The following is an 18,766-nucleotide window of genomic DNA, read 5'->3' as shown; positions in this document are numbered from 1 at the left end:
ACCAAGACACACTATAAACCAACTGTAAAAAGACAAAGACAAAGAGAGAATCTTAGAAGTAGCAAGAGAAAAGCAACTTATCACAAAATAAGGGATCCTCAATTAAATTGCTAGTGAATTTTGCAGCAGGAACTGTGCAGGCCAGAAGGCAATGGGCTGACATATTTAAAATACTGAAAGAAGGGGTGGGGGTAAAACCTGTCAACTGATAATCCTACATCCAAAAAACTGTCCTTCAAAAATGAGGGAGAAATTGAGACACTCCAAGAAAAAAATTCTGCATTTTCAATAATGGGTAAAACAACCAGACAGAAGATCAATAAGGAAATAGAGGACATGAACAACACCATAGACCAATTGGATCTAAGAGACATACACAGAACATATCATTCAGCAATAGATATTTTTCTCAAGTGCACGTGTGACATTCCCCAGGATAGACTGTATGTTTTCCACAAAACAAGCTTCACTAAATTTAAGAAGAATGAAATCATACAAAGTATGTTTTCTGTTCTCAATAGAAGAAAATTAGCAATAGAACAAGAACTAGAAAATTCACAAAAATGTGAAGATGAAACAACACACACTTAAACAACCAATGAATTAAAGAAGAAGTCACAAGAGAAATTTGAAGTCTTGAAATAAATGAAAATAAAAACACAACATACCAAAACTTATGGGATGCAGTGAAAACAGTACTAAGAGGAAAATTTATAGCTATAAGTGCTTGCTTTAAAAAAGAAAAATCCCATATGAACAACTTAATCTTATACCTTAAAGAAATAGAAAAAAAAAAAGTAATCTAAACCCAAGGCCACTAGGATGGCTATTACAAAAAAAAAAGCAGAAAACAACATGTTGACAAGGATTTTTTTTTTAATTGCAACTCTTGTACATTTATAGTAGGAATGTAAAATGGTACAGCTGCTATGGAAACAGTATGATGATTCCTCAAAATATTAAAAATAAAATTAACACATAATCCAGCAATTCCTCCTCTAGCTAGGTACCTAAAAGAATGTTAGTCAAGACCTTGAACAGGTATTTGTACATCCCTGTTTATGGCAGCATTATTTACAATAGCTGAAGGTGGAAGCAAATTAGGAGTCCATCAATAGGTGAATGAATAAACACAATATGATCTACACTTACAAAGGAATATTAGTTAGCTTTATAAAGAAAGTAGGTTCTGACACACATTACAACGTGGATAAAGCTCGAAGACATTGTGCTAAGTGAAACAGACACACAAGGACATATACTGCCTGATTCTACTTATATCAGGTAAGTAAAGTAATCAAGTTTATTTAAAAAAAAAAAAAAGAAAGTAGAAAGATGGTTTCCAGGGGCTAGGGAGAAGGGGAAAGAAGAGTTATTTAACATGTCCAAAGTTTCAATTTTACAAGGTGTAATGAATTATGGAGGTGAATGGTGTTAACAGTTGTTGCACAGCAATGTGAATCTTCTTAAATGCCACTGAAACAACACTCAAAATGGTTAAAATTATTTTAAAAGCCTCACTCAGTATTTTTTGAAAACAGCTATTTTTTCATATAAATTCAATTTATGTCAACATATAATGGGTTTATCATTGTAATTTTAAAATAAATTAATAAGTAAAGATTTTTAAAGTTTCCAAAAAATTGTTGTGGCTACTCCCAGTCACTGTGTCACCTTATAAATTGTGTAATCTGGTTTTTAATTTCTACTAAGAAAATTGCCTGATGGAATTTTTATTGTGATTATGGCTAGACAATTTTCCACCCATCACTCGTGTTTCTGCACATTTTGTTGCACTGATTGCCTTTCCTCTGGATTATTTTTTCACAGATGTTTCTATAGTGACCATCCTCAAAAGATGATAAAGATAATATCTTTCTTTAGAGCAAAGGGCATATTTTCTTACAGGCTTAGATGGTAACTATAATGTCTTCCCTGGAGCATAGAAGCATATTTGTTGCATATGCTTAATACTCCTTAGAAATGCTTCAGATTTTCTAGGCTCAGGGTTCTTCTCCTGTAAAAAAAAAAAATGCAGCATAGGTTAATGTGTCAATTGGTTGTCTTTGTATCACCTGCAGAAATTAGGGTTGAGAGAGCTGACCAAAAAGATACACTGATACCCTAGCTACTGCTATCGCTGTGAAGAATAAATTTCTTCATCTCTGATCAAAAGTTTTATGTCTTCATATTAAAAATATATTGAGATCTATTTTATTATTCATCATATTATGTAACTTAATAACATTTTGTGTGCACTTGAAAAGAATATGCATTCTACTATTATTGAGTGACGTGTTCTATAAATGTTCACTAAGTCACTGGATGCATAGTGAAGGTCAAATGCTCTGTATTCTTACTGATTTACGTCTACCGGTTCTATCAATTTCCCAGAAAGGAGGGTTAAAGTTCTATACTATAATTGTATGTCTATTTCTCCTTTGAGCGCTATCAGTATTTGCTTTCTACATTTTGGGGCATTTCTGTTATGTGCATAATCATTTAGGGTTGTTACTTCTCTTAATAAATTGACCCTTTTATCATTATTGAATGTCTATCTTTATGAATGGTCAAATTCTTTGAACTAAAGACTGTTCTAATATTCAGTAGCCACTCACACTTTCTTATAATTACTCCGTTGTATTGTATATCATTTTTCATTCTTTTCCTTTTTAAAATATGTGTGCTACATATTTTAAATGCAATTATTGTAAATATAGTACAAAGATGCATGCTGCCTTTTTTATCAGTCTGACAACCACTGCCTTTTATTTGAAGTATATGAACTATTTATATTTAACTTTTTTATCTGGAGGTGTTTAAGTCTACCATCATTCTATTTGTTTTATATTTGTTGCAACTGATCTTCATTCATTTTTTTATCATTTTCCTGTCTTTTCATTCAGACTTTTTAATACTTAGTTTTACATTCATTGTTGACTTATAAGTTATATCTCTGTTTTTCTTTGTAATGGTTGCTTCAGACTTACGATGTAAAATTTTAATATATTATGAGCTATCTTCAATCTATATTAAAATATTATTATAGCACTTCACGTATGTATGATGTATGCATCTTACTGCAATGTGCTTTCATTTCCTTCCCCCATACTTGTACTATTCTTGTCATAGATTTTACTTTCCTATATCTTGCAATTCATTGTTATAGTTATTATGCAATAGGCTCTCTCTATTTTAACAATTTTTTAAATGAGAAAAAAAATTTTCTATTTTTTTCACACTTTAACCATCCTTTATTGCTTTTCTAAGGTACATGTTCCCACCTGAAGAACTTCCTTGAAGATGTCTTATAGTGCAGGTCTGCTGTTTATCTTGCTTAGGGTTCATTAAACTTCTTGGATTTGTAAGTTTATCATTTTCATCAGTTTCAAAACTAATTTTGACTATATTTCTTTACATATTTTTGGACCACTCTTTTTTTAAATTTGCAATAAAAATACATGTTTGGTTGACCACTTGATATTGTTCTACAAATCATTAAGGCTTTGTTTATTTCACTTTTTTAGTTTTATTTCTCTGTGCTTCAGTTTGGATTGTTTATATTGTTATGACTTCAAATTCACTGATCTGTACTTCACAACAAGTATGCTAATAAGTGCACCCAGTTACTGTTTTCATATTAGATACATTATTTTGAAGTAATTGTCTACTAGTTCCTTTATATCTATCATTTATATGTTTTTATGTATAGATGTTTCTCCTGGTTATGAAAGTCATTTTTCTGTGTATCTATATTTGTTAATTTTAGATCAGATGCTGGCCATTTTTATATTATATGGATGAGTGTCCAGATTCAGTTATATTCTTTTAACAACTGTTGAAATTTATTCTGGCAGATAGGTAAGTTACTTGCCAATCAACTTGATTTTGGGGGGTTAGTTTTAATCTTTGTTAGGAAAGTTATATGATATGCTTTTCTCCAGGACTATAATAGTTTGAGATTACTATTAAGGATGGACCTTTCTGAGGTCTCTAATGAATCTTTGAGCTTTTGATGAGGATTCTAACCTCTGGCTGGTTGTAAGATGAATGTCTCTTACTCCTGTGTAAGCTTAGGAATTATTTAGATTACCACTTTCTGATAGGGTGTGTGTGTGTGTGTGTGTGTGTGTGTGTGTGTGTGTGTGTGTGTGTGTGTTTGGCTTGTTATCACAGAGTTTTACTGTATGCATCTATGGCTTGATATTTAGCAACAGATCCAAGCAAGCCCCTATACAGAGTTTTGGAGAACTTTCTCTGCATAACTCTCTCCTTCCAGTTCCCTAGCCTAAAACTTCTTCCTGCCTTAGCTTTCTCATACTCTAATCTCTATTTCCTCAACTCAAAAATACGGCCATGCTTGTTTCAGTCCTTCTTCGTGGCACTGAATTCTTGGAAGTAACTGCTGAATTAAAGCCAGAGAAAGTATAGAATATTCGTTCTCTGAAAGATCAAAGTCTCCTGGGTCCTCTTTTCCAGTACCTAATAAATTTTCATTAAAGTTTTATTAAATTTTTAATTCTTTGGTGGACAAGTTAAATATTTTTGAAATCTGAAGTGTAATATATACATATGGCATTAATAAGAAGAGATATTGAAATTTGCATATTTGGTTCAGAATAAAAATTTTAATTTGGTTTTAGGGAATGACAAATATAATATTTTAATATAATAAAATAATCAATGAAATATACCAAAATTATGGGCAAAAATAAATTACAAATTTTATGCAATTTGATTTTTAAAATTCTCTTCTTTGAACATCGAATAGTGTCAGAACAGAATCTCTAAATTATTGGCTCTTACTTTCTATAGTGTACAAGAATTGGGTAAAATATTTGCCAATGAGCAGATTCCTGAGTTCAAACTCAAGATCTTATAATTAATGAAGTTTTGGTTGGCCCAAAAGTATCATCATTTTTAGTATTACTCCTGTTGATTCTGATGTAGAAGGTCCAAGAGAAAATTCAGATGAAATGTCCTTGTGTTGTTATTTTCCTTCTGAGTGACTGTTTAATGATAAGTGGCCATATTGATTCTGCAAGATGAAAGCATAATTTAAGTGTCAGAGTATCTGGAAGCTATGTGCATCTTATGTTTGACCACTCCAAATTAGTAAACATGGAAACTAAACATTTTGTTTTCTTTCTATGATAGTTAATTTTATGTGTCAACTTGACTGGGCCACAGGATGCTGAGATACCTGGTTCAACATTATTTATGGGTGAGTCTGTGAGACTGTTTCAGGAAGAGATTAGCATTGGAATCATAGGCTGAGTACAGTACATTACCCTTCCCAATCTGGGTTGACATCATCTAATCCATGCAGGACATGAATAAAACAAAATTGTGCAACAAGGCAGGATTCATCCTCTCTCTACCTGACTGATTGGGCTGGAACAGCAGTCTTCTGTCCTGAGTATTCCTGGTTCTCAGGCTTTCAGAGTCAGGCTGGAATCCACACCACTGGCTCCTTGGCTCTCAGGCCTTCCTGCTATACCACAGACATTCCTTGGTCTCCAGCTTGCAGATAGCAGATTGTGAGAGTTCTCAGCCTCCATAATTTTGTGAGCCAATACCTTATATAAGTCTCTTTCTAGATGTATGCATATATCTAGAATATATCTGTTCCAGAGAAACAGAACCAATAGGATATATATTTACACACACACACATATATATATGCACACAGGTGTACATATATACAGTTCAAGAAATTAAAGGAGATGATATTTAAATTTGGCATAAATTAAATCTTACCATGCAGGTAGCTTGGACAATGTAGCTTGAACACACAAGTATATGTATACATATATACACACACATACTTGTAGCATATATATACAATGTAGCTTGAACACAGAAATATATATATACACACGTGTGTACATATATACATATATACACATATATACATATACATATGTATATACATATATACTATATATATAATGTAGCTTGACCACACAAATATATATATATATGCACATGTGTGTACATATATACAGTTCTATATACAGTTCAAGAAATTAAAGGAGATATTTAAGTTTGGCATAAAGTAAATCTTACCATGCAGGTAGCTTGGATGATGTTTTAGGTGCCTTATAAGAAAGACATATTTGAAATGTTTAATGCAGTTCAGTTGGAAGCTCAAACCATCCTAAATCTAGAAATACATTAAAAAATAAAATGCCACTTGTGACAAGGTCTCATAGCACTTAAGTTTAGGTTTTAATTTTCTCCAAAAGGCATTTAGTAGCAGGCAATATGCCATTTACTAGTATTTTTTACTCTCTGATTAATTACTTGGTTGACAAAATAAAAAATATTTTCTCTGATGTGTCTCTGAAGCCCACTGTGGGCAGGAAGATGTGGAAGGCTAAAGGGTGCTCTCTCCATACTGTTTTCCTCTGTCTTCTGCCCAAATTGATCCTCTTGCTGTTGGGGAGGGTTCACCATGCCCATAGAAAACACTGATGTATAAAAGCTGCAGTTAGGTGAATCCACCAATACATTGAATACTGAGACATGCTAGTGTTGTTTTGACAGATTAATGTCAGATTAAAACAATAACAGGCCTAGGAGAACTATTTTGACAAGTAACCTTCTAAGGATGGATGACCATTTCATGCTTGGCTCCTTTCTTGGCTTCAGGAAAAATATAAGAAAGATCAGGCGCTGATTCTGAAAATGTTATTTTGGGAAAAACATTCTTCCTTGCACTTCTAGAGCTCATCTATTTTTCCTCAAACTGGAAACTTGCCAGTCTGCCCAACAGTGGAGAAACCACTAAGCTTCCACTCAAACCCATGGAATGGTTTCTGATTGCTGGAGGCTCTCAATCTGTCCCGGAAACTGCCTTTACTAAAAGTTGCAAAGTACAACAGTATTGACTCTTGTCAAAACTAGAAAGAAAATGTAAAAATTGTCTTGGTGGTCCTAGATGTATATTTTTGAAAAATCTAGGTGTATTTTAGCAAGTATTAATGTAGGAAAGTCTAAATTCACATCCCTACTTGTTTTTATCTTCCTACTTAATAAAACCTATTCTTTCTTGAGCAGTTACTATACAGACAGACATGAAGCACTTTGCATAGCTTTCTCATTAGATCTTCATAGCCATCTTATGAGGTAGATGCTATTATTATACCTATTTTGGAGGCAAGACAACTGAGGATAAATATTAAATAACCTGTTTAAGAGCAAAAATGACTATTAGATAGGGCCAATAAATGGCAGAGTTCAGGTCTCAATCCAGGGTTATCTGGCTCTAAAAATCCGTGGTCTTAGTGATTACACTGTATTTTAACATCTTAACCTGTACCTTCTACAGCTATTGGCTACATCTATAGGATGCCTCTGCCTGTAATCTCCATTTTTCCCTGACATGAAAATATATCATCAACCTTACTGAGTTTTGGAATTAAAAATTTCTTCTAGGCTTAAAAGTCAATTCTTCAGTCACACTTGATAGATGACTTTCCTTGGATCCTCTTTAGTTAGTTCCCTTTTCTTATCAACAAGATTCAGAATCTAGCACTGTAGAAATAAGATGCCCATATTTTCTTAAGACACATTAATTCCTGTGACCCCTTCTCTTCCAGTGTTGACCGGCTCTGGAATTCTACCTGGGTTTGTACTTCTCATTTTATCTATTTCTTGAATGAGCCCCATTTTGAAGACTGAAATACAATTTTTCACCCCAGGATGTTCCCAAAGTTCTTCTTGTCTTTTGTGTTCTTATTTTCTAGACTCTGTTATGATACCATATTTTGTACTAGGCATCTTCTACTTATGGACAGACTGTTTAATGATGACTACCACCTGAATTCTCTGTTGTTATGGGTGGATCAGATTTCTTGTTGCTACTTGATGGATATCCTTGGACAAACATTTATTAAGTATTTTCTGAGTGCAGGCTCTGTGCTGGGGGCTTCAAATACACAAATTGTCTGTCATATATTCATAGTCTATTGACTCTGCCTTATATTAAGATGCAGTCAATATTTCCTTTGGTTGGTTAGAATTATTTACTGTTTTTGGCCAGGTGCGGCGGCTTACACCTGTAATTCCAGCACTTTAAGAGGCCGAGGCAGGTGGATCATGAGGTCAAGAGTTCCAGATCAGTCTGGCCAACATGATGAAACCCCGTCTCTACTAAAAAGCCAAAAATTAGCCAGGCGTGGTGGTACGCACCTGTAGTCCCAGCTACTCAGGAGGCTGAGGCAGGGGAATTGCTTGAACCTGGGAGGCAGAGGGTGAAGCAAGCTGAGATCATGCCACTGCACTCCAGCCTGGGTGACAGAGTGAGACTCTGTCTCCAAAAAAAAAAAAAAAAAATTATTCACTGTTTTTGTCTTGAAGTTGTTTTCTTCCCATCTCCCCTTGGTAGGAATATCTCTGCTTGATTTGTTGTAGTTCTATTTTCTGGCCCAGATTTGCTGAAGACCTACTTCTCCACATGTATGAGAGTTTCAGAGTGACACCTCTTATTTCAGCTCTTACCTCTCTTTTATACCACTTCTGAGATATGACTTGAACCTGATCATGATAATTACTTGCCTTTGTCCTTTAGATACATCCTCTGATGGTGTGGACTTTCTCACTCTATCAGCAATTAGAGAATAAGCAATAGAGACCTCAGAAATAACACCACACATCTACAACTATCTGATCTTTGAAAAACCTGACAAAAACAAGCAATGGGGAAAGGATTCCCTATTTAATAAATGGTGTTGTGAAAACTGGCTAGCCATATGCAGAAAACTGAGACTGGACCCTTTCCTTATGCCTTATACAAAAATTAACTCAAGATAGATTAAAGACTTAAACATAAGACCTAAAGCCATAAAAACCCTAGAAGAAAATCCAGGCAATACCATTCAGGTCATGGGCATAGGCAAAGACTTCATGAATAAAACACCAAAAGCAATTGCAACAAAAGCCATAATTGACAAATGAGATCTAATCAAACTAAAGAGCTTCTGCACAGCAAAAGAAACTATTATCAGAGTAAACAGGCAACCTACAGAATGGGAGAAAATTTTTATAAACTATCCATCTGACAAAGGGCTAATATCCAGAATCTACAAAGAACTTAAACAAATTTACAAGAAAAACACAAACAACCCCATCAAAAAGTGAGCAGAGGATATGAACAGACTCTTCTCAAAAGAAGATATTTATGTGGCCAACAAACATATGAAAAAAAGCTGATCATCACTGGTCATTAGAGAAACGCAAATCAAAACCACAATGAGATATCATCTCATGCCAGTTAGAATGGTGATCATTAGAAAGTCTGGAAACAACAGATGCTGGAGAGGATGTGGAGAAACAGGAACACTTTTACACTGTTGGAGGGAGAGTAAATTAGTTCAACCATTGTAGAAGACAGTGTGGTGATTCCTCAAGCATCTAGAACCAGAAATACCATTTTACCCAGGAATATCATGACTGGGTATATACCCAAAGGGTTATAAATCATTCTACTATAAAGACACATGCACACGTGTTTATTGCAGCACTATTCACAATAGCAAAGGCTTAGAGCCAACCCAAATGCCCATCAGTGATAGACTGGATAAAGAAAACGTGGCACATATACACCATGGAATACTATGCAGCCATAAAAAAGGATGAGTTCATGTCCTTTGCAGGGACACGGATGAAGCTGGAAACGATCATCCTCAACAAACTAACACAGGAACAGAAAACCAAACACCACATGTTCTCACTCATAAGTGGGAGTTGAACAGTGAGAACACATGGACACAGGGAGGGGAACATCACACACTGGGGCCTGTCAGGGTTGGGGGCAAGGGGAGGGAGAGCATTAGGACAAATACCTAATGTGGGGCTTAAAACCTAGATGACAAGTTGATAGGTACAGCAAACCACCATGGTACATGTATACCTATGTAACAAACCTGCACGTTCTGCACATGTATCCCAGAACTTAAAGTAAAATTAAAAAAAAAACTGTAAATATATAAATCAATAAAAAATAAATTACAGTGTGTTTATTTGGTAAGCCTTAGCAGGATCACATAGAAAGAGTCAAAAATATATTTTTAAAAATTATTGGATCACAGGCACACATTCATTTTTGTGCTGTTATTGGCTGTTTTTATACCACAATTGTATGAAAAGTTGAGTCACTGTAACAGAGCACCTACTGCCTACAAAACCTAAAGTACTTACTATCTATCTGATCTTTTACAGAAAAGTTCACCCCCACTTATTCTATGACATTCTTAAACTCCCTGGGAAGCACATTAAATAATAATACATGGCTACCTTAAGTACTCTAATGATTAGAAGAATAAATTAAAATGAATGAACAGCATAATGAAAAGGATATACTCTTAGACGCCTCATTTCTTTGGCCACTTAGGTCTCATAGCCTGAGTAATAATAAAGGAGGCATTATGCTTGAGTCATATTTATATTTTCCAAGTCTCTGGCTATATTGGTTACCCATGATCCCACATTGCTCTCATCTTTCTTCCAGAAAGGATGCCCAACAGTCTCTTCATAAGTTTGCATGAAGCAGTTCAAAGGGTTTAGAGTCACGGGGCCTTTGTTTGCCATGTTGCCAAACTGAAGCAAGCACTGCTTGCTTCAGTTTTGTCCCATCTTCTCCAATTCCATGTTCCACCACTGACTTTGGTTCTCAAGCAGAAGCAATCTTCATTCTACACTTACCACTTTTATATTTCATCTGGCTTTGTTTGTCTTCTAAATATAAACAGCCTATGCATCTTTGAAAATGTAGATTTGGTCTTTAGGTTTGTATCTCTCTCTGCTTAAAGACTTCTACCAAGTTTTCTAGGGACTAAACCAACTTTCTAATAATAACAACAACAGCTTTGCATACTTATTATATAAGAATCCTAATGATAATAAGCATTATAGTGTAATAATAAGCTGTGATAGTTTTGAATGCTTATTATATGTTATATGTGGGAAATGGTTCCAAGTTCTGCACATAAATTAACTCATTTAAGCCTCACAACATTTCAGTCAGTCTGGCACAAGAACATATGCACTTAATCAATATGCAAAAGACATATTACTAGGCAGTTTTTGTTGTTTTCAGCATGGGAAGAGCATAAGAAAGTGGTATTACTAGTTAAATGTCTTTAAGGGAATTCCCTAAAAATATAGTGCATATACAGCTACACAGACAAATATGTACATATATATGTATATACCTAATACATGTACATATATACATACAATGTAGTAAGTATACAATAAATTTTGGTAGCTAGATGCATAGAAAATTTGTTTTATTCACCAAAAATATTGTCAAATGTCTACTATATGGCAGGCATTGTAGTTTGAAAGGAATGTTTTAACTGTTTATCTGATGTATACATACTCAAGAATTATATTACTGAGAGTAATAAACTCACATAAATTGGATAAAAACACAAAAATAAATAACTTTTCCTAGCATATAAGGGTAACTTATGGAAGATAAGTTCAAGAAATACAAGAAGCAAGCAGTTTGGGATCACATTAGTCTCCATCTGTCTTTCCCAATCTCTGTCATTCTTTCTCAGTCTCCCTTTCTCACTCCTGCTGATCATATCTACCAGAGTCAGTCCTTTCCTGGTAGTTCTGAGCATCTACCTCCTTTAATCTGCCTTTCTGTAGACAGCCTCCCTCTGTCTCTGAGTAAACATGGAAGGCCATACACTATAAGTCCCTATGACACTAACTAGAACTTCTGGGTCCAAACCACAGATTTCCCGGAGAGGAAATCGCTGAGTCAACTGGAATGAGATGTCCTCTTCTGTCCAATCAATAATGCCTGACAGCAGGGTTGGTGTACATTCATATGATCTCCTAAGGGAACAGAATCTCTAAGACTGCCTTAAATAGGGCATGAAAACTGGGTAACAGTTTTGCTGTATACAAATATATTTCACTGTATACAAAATATATCACTGTACAAAAATATAAGTTTGCTCTGTACAAAATATACTGACCTTTTTTTCTCCCTCTGAGTGCCTAGCAGCTATGGTAATTTCCCTAAAACCAATTAACAATACTTTTAACTGCCCTCAAAGATTATGAGAAAATCTCTTATAATGTATTCTTATAAAGAACACCTTAAATATGATAAAGGCACATCATGTTCCTAGACCTTCCTTCCTTGGATGGTGTAAGTCCCTGGTATCTCTATATCCCTAAGTTTGCTTGTAATGCCAATGAAAGTTAAGGTGGTGGCTATAAATGCCATACTTTCTGATACTACTTGTAGTCTCTTCAACTTCATACTTCATCCTTCTCCCCAGAATGCCAGTTGGTATACTTCATCCTTCTCCCCAGATTGCCAGTTGGTATACTTCATCCTTCTCCCCAGATTGCCAGTTGGTAATCTACAAAGACTAGCCAGAGGATACAGAAAAGGTAAAATGGGAACATTTCAAGTGGTATCCTCTAGACCTGCAGGAATCATAAAACTGGGCTACCCAAGTGAACTGGTTAGCACTGCTAAGTGGGTAATAAAAAAAATTTGCCACTTCTATGGCAGAATTCCGCTACTGATTTCCTTTTCTCAATACTCTCCATAGGTCAAATGCTGAATCTGAAATCACATAGCTATTACTGAAGAGACGCTACCAAAGAGATGCATTGAGAGATGTTCAAACAGCCTATTGCGTAGCTAGAGTCATTTCGGTATCAGTTTTACTGAAGTAACAAGTCTTTTTTTATTTTTAATTCAAAGTAAAAATGTTTACCTTATTTGAGTAAATAGTTGGGGTTATTATTTGCTTTTAGCATATTTACAATTAAGAAAGATTTATGTACATAATGTAGACATGGAAGAAATGAAACAAATATGAAAAAGAGCCTCAATTCCTTAAACAACTAACAAGAATTAGAAAAGAAAACAAACTTTTGGGTAGAGATCTGTGTAGACATACCACAAAGGCATATCACACATGAGCATACAACTTACCAGACACAGAGCATTCTCATATAATCATCCCAATTGCCTAAATTCTGTTTGTCATAAAATTCTCCCAAGTTCTCTCCTATGGAAGTTTTAAAGATGGTGTAAAAGCATAGATACAATACATGTGGACCTCTGGATATACTCTAGAATGTAATTTTTAAAAGCCATTTATGAATTTATTCTATCTCTACTTCCCTTTTTAAGTTCCTGCTACTAACATTTTGCAGATTTGATTAACCCACACTGAAAGAGATGCTTTCTCTAGAAATACAAAAAGTGGCAAATTGTTTTAGTATTAACTACCATGCTGACCAAGTGAAAGTGAGATTTAACAGGAAAGTTATTATTTTAATTATATCTAGATCAGTGGTAGATCTAGTTGGACTGCTCCTGACAATCCCTCAGAGTTCTAAAACAAATGCCTAGGTCTCACCCCAGAGACTCTGATTTGTCTGTGGTAATCTCCGGGCACTAGTATTCTTAAAATAAGCTTAAGTTTTTTAACATTTTCAAATTTAGAGGAAAGTTGCACAGATAGATCCCATATGACTTTCTCCATTTCCCTTCTTATTAACATCTTACATTGCCCTGGTACATTTGTCGCAACTAAGAAACCGGCACTGGCACATTACGATTAACTCCAGTCTTCATTCAATTTCTGTAACTTTCCCACTAGTGTCTTTTTTATTTTTATTTTTTATTTTTGCTCCAGAATACCATTCATGATATAATATTACATTTTGTCATGTCTCCTTCATCTTCTCAAGACCATGATAGTTTCTCATCCATTCCTGGATTTTTATTTTTATTTTTAAAATGTCTTAATTTTTAATTGTCGTGGGTACATGGTCGGTATATTTGTGGGGCACATGTGATGTTTTGATACAGACATGCAATGTGAAATGATCACATGATGAAGGATTGGGTATCCATCCCTCCAAGCATTCATCCTTTGTGTTATAGTCCAATTACATTCTTTTAGTTATTTGAAATCTACAATTATTATTGACCATAGTAACCCTGTTGTGCAATCAAATAGTATGTATTATACATTCTTTCTATTTTTTTGTACCCATTAACCATCTCCACCACCCCCTAACCCACCACCCCAACCCTTCCCAGCCTCTGGGAGTCATCCTTCCATTCCTTATTTTTAATGATCTTGACTCCTTTGAAGAATATTGGCCAGGTATTTTGAAGAAGATTCCTCAATTGGGCTTTTATTTTTTTATCATGGTTAGACTGGGGCTATTGGTTTTTGGAAAGAATACCACAGAGGTGAAGTGCCTTTGTCATTCATATTAGGGAGTAAAGTCTGTGAATGTAATTCATCATAGTGTATGTTAATCTTGATCACCTACCCAACGTAGTATTTTCCTGTTTCTTCACTGTGAAGTTATTTCTTCCTCCCTTCACATACCCATAATTTATTTTGTTTTAATCAAGTCATTAAGAGGAGTGGGGAGGGGGAAGGAAGGAGGTAAGTTTCACCTGCTTCAGGGGAGAATACAAAAATGGTTTGTGATTCTTTCATAAAGAAGATTTCTCTCTTTTCCTACATTTATTTACTTAATATTATATTTATACAAATATGGACTTGTGGGTATTTGTCTTATACTTTGGACTGTAACTCAAAACTATGTTATTCATTTTGTTACTCAAATTTTTCCATCTTTGGCCATTGGGGCCTCTTTCTGGTTGGCTGTGTTAATATTTTAAGAGGCCACCAGATGGTTCTCAAGTACAGCCAGGATCTGGAATTCTGATTTATATACAATAGATCCATGTTCTCAAAGTGTTGTCCCTAGACAAGCAGCATCACCATTTTCACTCGTGTCCGTGTGAAGAGACCACCAAACAGGCTTTGTGTGAGCAACAAAGCTGTTTATTTCACCTGGGTACAGGTGGGCCGAATCCGAAAAGAGAGTCAGTGAAGGGAGATAGGGTTGGGGCCGTTATATAAGATTTGGGTAGGTAAAGGAAAATTACAGTCAAAGGGGGGTTGTTCTCTGGTGGGCAGGAGTGGGGGTCACAAAGTGCTCAGTAGGGGAGCTTTTGAGCCAGGATGAGCCAGGAGAAGGAATTTCACAAGATAATGTCATCAGTTAAGGCAGGAACAGGCCATTTTCACTTCTTTTGTGGTGGAATGTCATCAGTTAAGGCAGGAACCGGCCATCTGGATGTGTACGTGCAGGTCACAGGGGATGTGATGGCTTAGCTTGGGCTCAGAGGCCTGACATTCCTGTCTTCTTATATTAATAAGAAAAATAAAATGAAATAGTGGTAAAGTGTTGGGATGGTGAAAATTTTGGGGGGTGCCATGGAGAGATAATGGGCGATGTTTCTCAGGGCTGCTTCGAGTGGGATTAGGGGTGGCGTGAGAATTTAGAGTGGGAGAGATTAAGCTGAAGGAAGATTTTGTGGTAAGGGGTGATATTGTGGGGTTGTTAGAAGAAACATTTGTCGTATAGAATTATTGGTGATGGCCTGGATATGGTTTTGTAGGAATTGAAAAACTAAATGGAATAAGAGAAGGAGAAAAACAGGTATTAAAGGACTAAGAATTGGAAGGACCTAGGGCATCTAATTAGAGAGTGTCCTAGGTGGTTCAGCGTAATTACTTACTTGGTTGGCAAGTTTTTGGGCTTTATCCTTGAGTTTTTTATGTCGTCATACACCAGGCCAGATTGATTTAGGTAAAAACAACACTCTTCATTTAAGAATATACAGAGTTCTCCTTTTTCAGCTGTGAGTAAGTCAAGGCCTCGGCGGTTTTTGGAGGACAACTGCAGCTAAAGAGTCAACTTGGGCATGGAGGACTGATAAAGTTTGTGATATGTCTGTGATGCTAGCAGAGAAGTCATTAGACAGGCTATGGAAGGTCGTGACAGAGGTCGAAGTGCCTGCTATTCCCGTACCGAGAGCGCTAGTGGAGGCAGAAAGTCTTAAACCGACAAGAAAGAGAATTAGTGGAATAACTCTTTTTTGTTGTGTCGGTGTCATGAGAGGAACAGGGAGCTCTTCGGTCCTATTTGCAAATTGAATTTTGGGAGTAGGAAAACTAGTGTGCATGTGCCTGTCCAATTAGCAGGTAGACACATGTAGGTAGAGGATCCACAGAGGAAGAAGAGACCTTGTGCGAGGCAAAACTGGAGATGCAAAGTAAAAAGATGAGAAGGAGTGCTGAAAGGGGTGTCTTGTACCTAGACTCCTAGGGATGCAGCTAGGGCAGCAGCAGTCAGAGGTTGTAATAGGGTCTGATGGGGTAACTGCATAGAGGGGGAAGTTCAATTTTCATGGTGTATGAGAAAATGCCGAGTGTCTACGAGCAACCTTTCACTGTTATTTTTGAGGCCGGGTATAAGTAAACAAGAAGAAGGCTTTGGAGATGAAGAGTAAAGGAACATCGAGCAAGTGAAAGGTTACCTAGGGGAATTCCAGTGGGTCTTTGCCAAGAGATACATAAAGAAGCAGCCATAGGAATAGTAGTTTGTGTTGTGGGAGGTCTAAATATGGGAGGAGTAGAGTTGATATAAGGAGAAAGGTTTTTTAAGTAAGTGCAGAGGAGGGCAGCAGCTTGCTGATGTGAAATGTCTGGGGAGGTCTTGCTGGACCTGTCTAGAAAGTAAATGAGTTCTTCAGGAGGGTAAAGGTGAGGGCTGTTAAAGGAAGTTTGGAGGTGTACGGAGACAGAAGGTGTTGCCTAGTCTGCATGTAAGGTGGGGACAGCTGTGTAGGCGCTGGAAGAAAGAGAAATGCAAAGCCAGCAGTTGTTCACTAAGGAGGGATTAGAAACGTCTAGGAGAGAATGAGTAAGGTTGATAGTGTGGTAGAGATAGCTGGGGAGAGGTAGAGGGTGGCATAAAAATGGGAATGAGAATAAGAGTGAGTATAAAAGTAAAGAGTAGAACTTCATCAGGGTGAAAGAATTGGAGGGTCCCCTGCCAGCAAAGATCATCTATGCACTCTAAGAGGGAGTTAAGAGTTGCCAGTCCTGTGTGGGGGCAAATCCTCGAGCTTGATGTGTAGGGAAGGGAGAGGGGTTGAATAATCCCTGAGGAGTAGTAGAATAGCAGATGGAACACTAAGAAGTGATTTCCTTGAGGATAGATTTCCGTGATGGAAAGGAAATTAGAGGTTTTAAGAGACAGGCTAGTGGCTTGTAACCTACATGGAAGAGGTTATGAAATGACAACAGAGTAGAATGGGACTGTGAGGCTGAAAGGAGATATTTTCCTTGGTCTAAGAACCATTTGCCTTGTGTGAGAAGAGATTGATAGGTGGAAGTTTTAGCAAGGGATTAGGTGGGAGTGGCCAGATGAGAAGGAGAAAAACTGAAAGTGAGGGATAGAAGTTGGAACCCTAGCTGTTTTTTGCTATCTTATCAGCATAAGCATTGTCCTGAGGGATGGGATCTGATGCCCTTTGATGGCCTTTGCAGTGAATGACTCTAGCTTCCTTTGGAAGTAAAGGAGCTTTGAGAAGCGTTTTTATTAAAGAAGCATTAATGATAGAGGACCCTTGTGCAGTGAGGAAACCTCTTGCATGGTGGTGCAGGATATGGAAGGCATATTTAGAGTCTGTATAAATATTGACATTTAGTCCTTTTGCAAGAGTGAGGGTTTGACTTAAGACAATGAGTTCGGCTTGCTGAGAGGTAATGGAGGGGGGCAGAGTGGTAGCCTCAATGATAGATGTGGAAGATACTATAGCATAGCCTGCCTTTGCTGGTGAGTGGCGATTAGGCTTGGTGGAACTGCCATCAATAAACCAAGTGTGTTCAGGGTGAGGAACACGAAAGAATATGGGGAAATGGAGTGAATTTGAGGTGGATCAGAGATACAGTCATGGGGGTCAGGTGTGGTATCAGGAATAATGTGGGAGGCCAAATTGAAGTCCAGGCCAGGAACAATGGTAACTGTGGGAGACTCAACAAAGAGTGAGTACAGCTGAAGGAGCCAGGGAGCAGAAAGTATATGTATCAGGTGTGAGGAAGAAAATAGATTTTGGAAGTTATGAGAACTGTAGAGAGTGAGTTGAGCATAGTTTGTGATTTTAAGGGCCTCTAAAAGTATTAGGGTGGTGGTGGCCGCCACATGCAGACTTGAGGGCTAGGCAAAACAGTAAGGTCAAGTTGTTTGGATAAAAAGGCTACAGGGTGTGGTCCTGGTCCTGTGTAAGAATTCTGACTGCACAGCTCTGCACTTCAGCTGTGAGTAATGAAAAGGGTTGGGATGAGTCAGGGAGAGCTAGTGTGGCAGCAGTCTCTAAAGCTGTCTTCAAGGAATGGAAAGAGGAGTGGGGAAAGGATTTAGGATCTATGGGGTCAGCTAGGTTTCCTTTTGTGAGTTTAAATAATGGTTTTGTTAGTATGGCAAAACCAGGTATCTAAAGTCAAAAGTACCTAACCATGCCTAGGAAGGAAGGGTGTTGTTTTGTGGAAAGTGCTGGGGTTTGAGAGATCAGTCAGACACGATGGGCAGGGAGAGCATGTGTGTTTTCATGAAAATTATGCCAAGATAGGTAACAGATGAGGAAGAAATTTGGACTTGACTGAAGTAATGGGGGCTGTCTGTGAAGCCTTGTGGCAGTACAGCCCAGGTAATTTGCTGAGCCTGATGGGTGTCAGGGTCAGTCCAAGTGAAAGCGAAGAGAGGCTGGGACGAAGGGTGCAAACGAATAGTAAAGAAAGCATGTTTGAGATCCAGAACAGAATAATGGGTTGTGGAGGGAGGTATTGAGGATAGGAAACTATACGGGTTTGGCACCATGGGGCGGATAGGCAAAATAATT

The 18,766-nt window shown here is 36.9% G+C and overlaps 1 long non-coding RNA gene across 1 annotated transcript in view, besides 1 other annotated feature; it reads left to right on the top strand.

Annotated features, from left to right (window-relative positions):
• LOC105374235 (uncharacterized) overlaps positions 1–18,766 on the top strand; it is a 221,596-nt gene that overhangs the window by 155,835 nt on the left and 46,995 nt on the right. Inside the window, exons 3-5 of the long non-coding RNA NR_188692.1 lie at positions 3,271–3,364; positions 3,770–3,861; positions 5,158–5,224. This is a non-coding gene — a long non-coding RNA (uncharacterized LOC105374235). The remainder of the gene's footprint in view (positions 1–3,270; positions 3,365–3,769; positions 3,862–5,157; positions 5,225–18,766) is intronic.
• Positions 18,051–18,251: a silencer, noted in NCBI's record as "peak4943 fragment used in MPRA reporter construct". NCBI's record gives its function as "represses an SCP1 promoter by STARR-seq MPRAs in K562 erythroleukemia cells {active_cell/tissue: K562}" and the evidence as "EXISTENCE:reporter gene assay evidence [ECO:0000049][PMID:32103011]".

The sequence above is a fragment of the Homo sapiens genome, chromosome 3, assembly GCF_000001405.40.
Source record: "Homo sapiens chromosome 3, GRCh38.p14 Primary Assembly".
Taxonomy (NCBI): domain Eukaryota; kingdom Metazoa; phylum Chordata; class Mammalia; order Primates; family Hominidae; genus Homo; species Homo sapiens.
The sequence above is the reverse complement of the archived record's forward strand: the minus strand, read 5'-3'. Positions and strand labels throughout refer to the sequence as shown.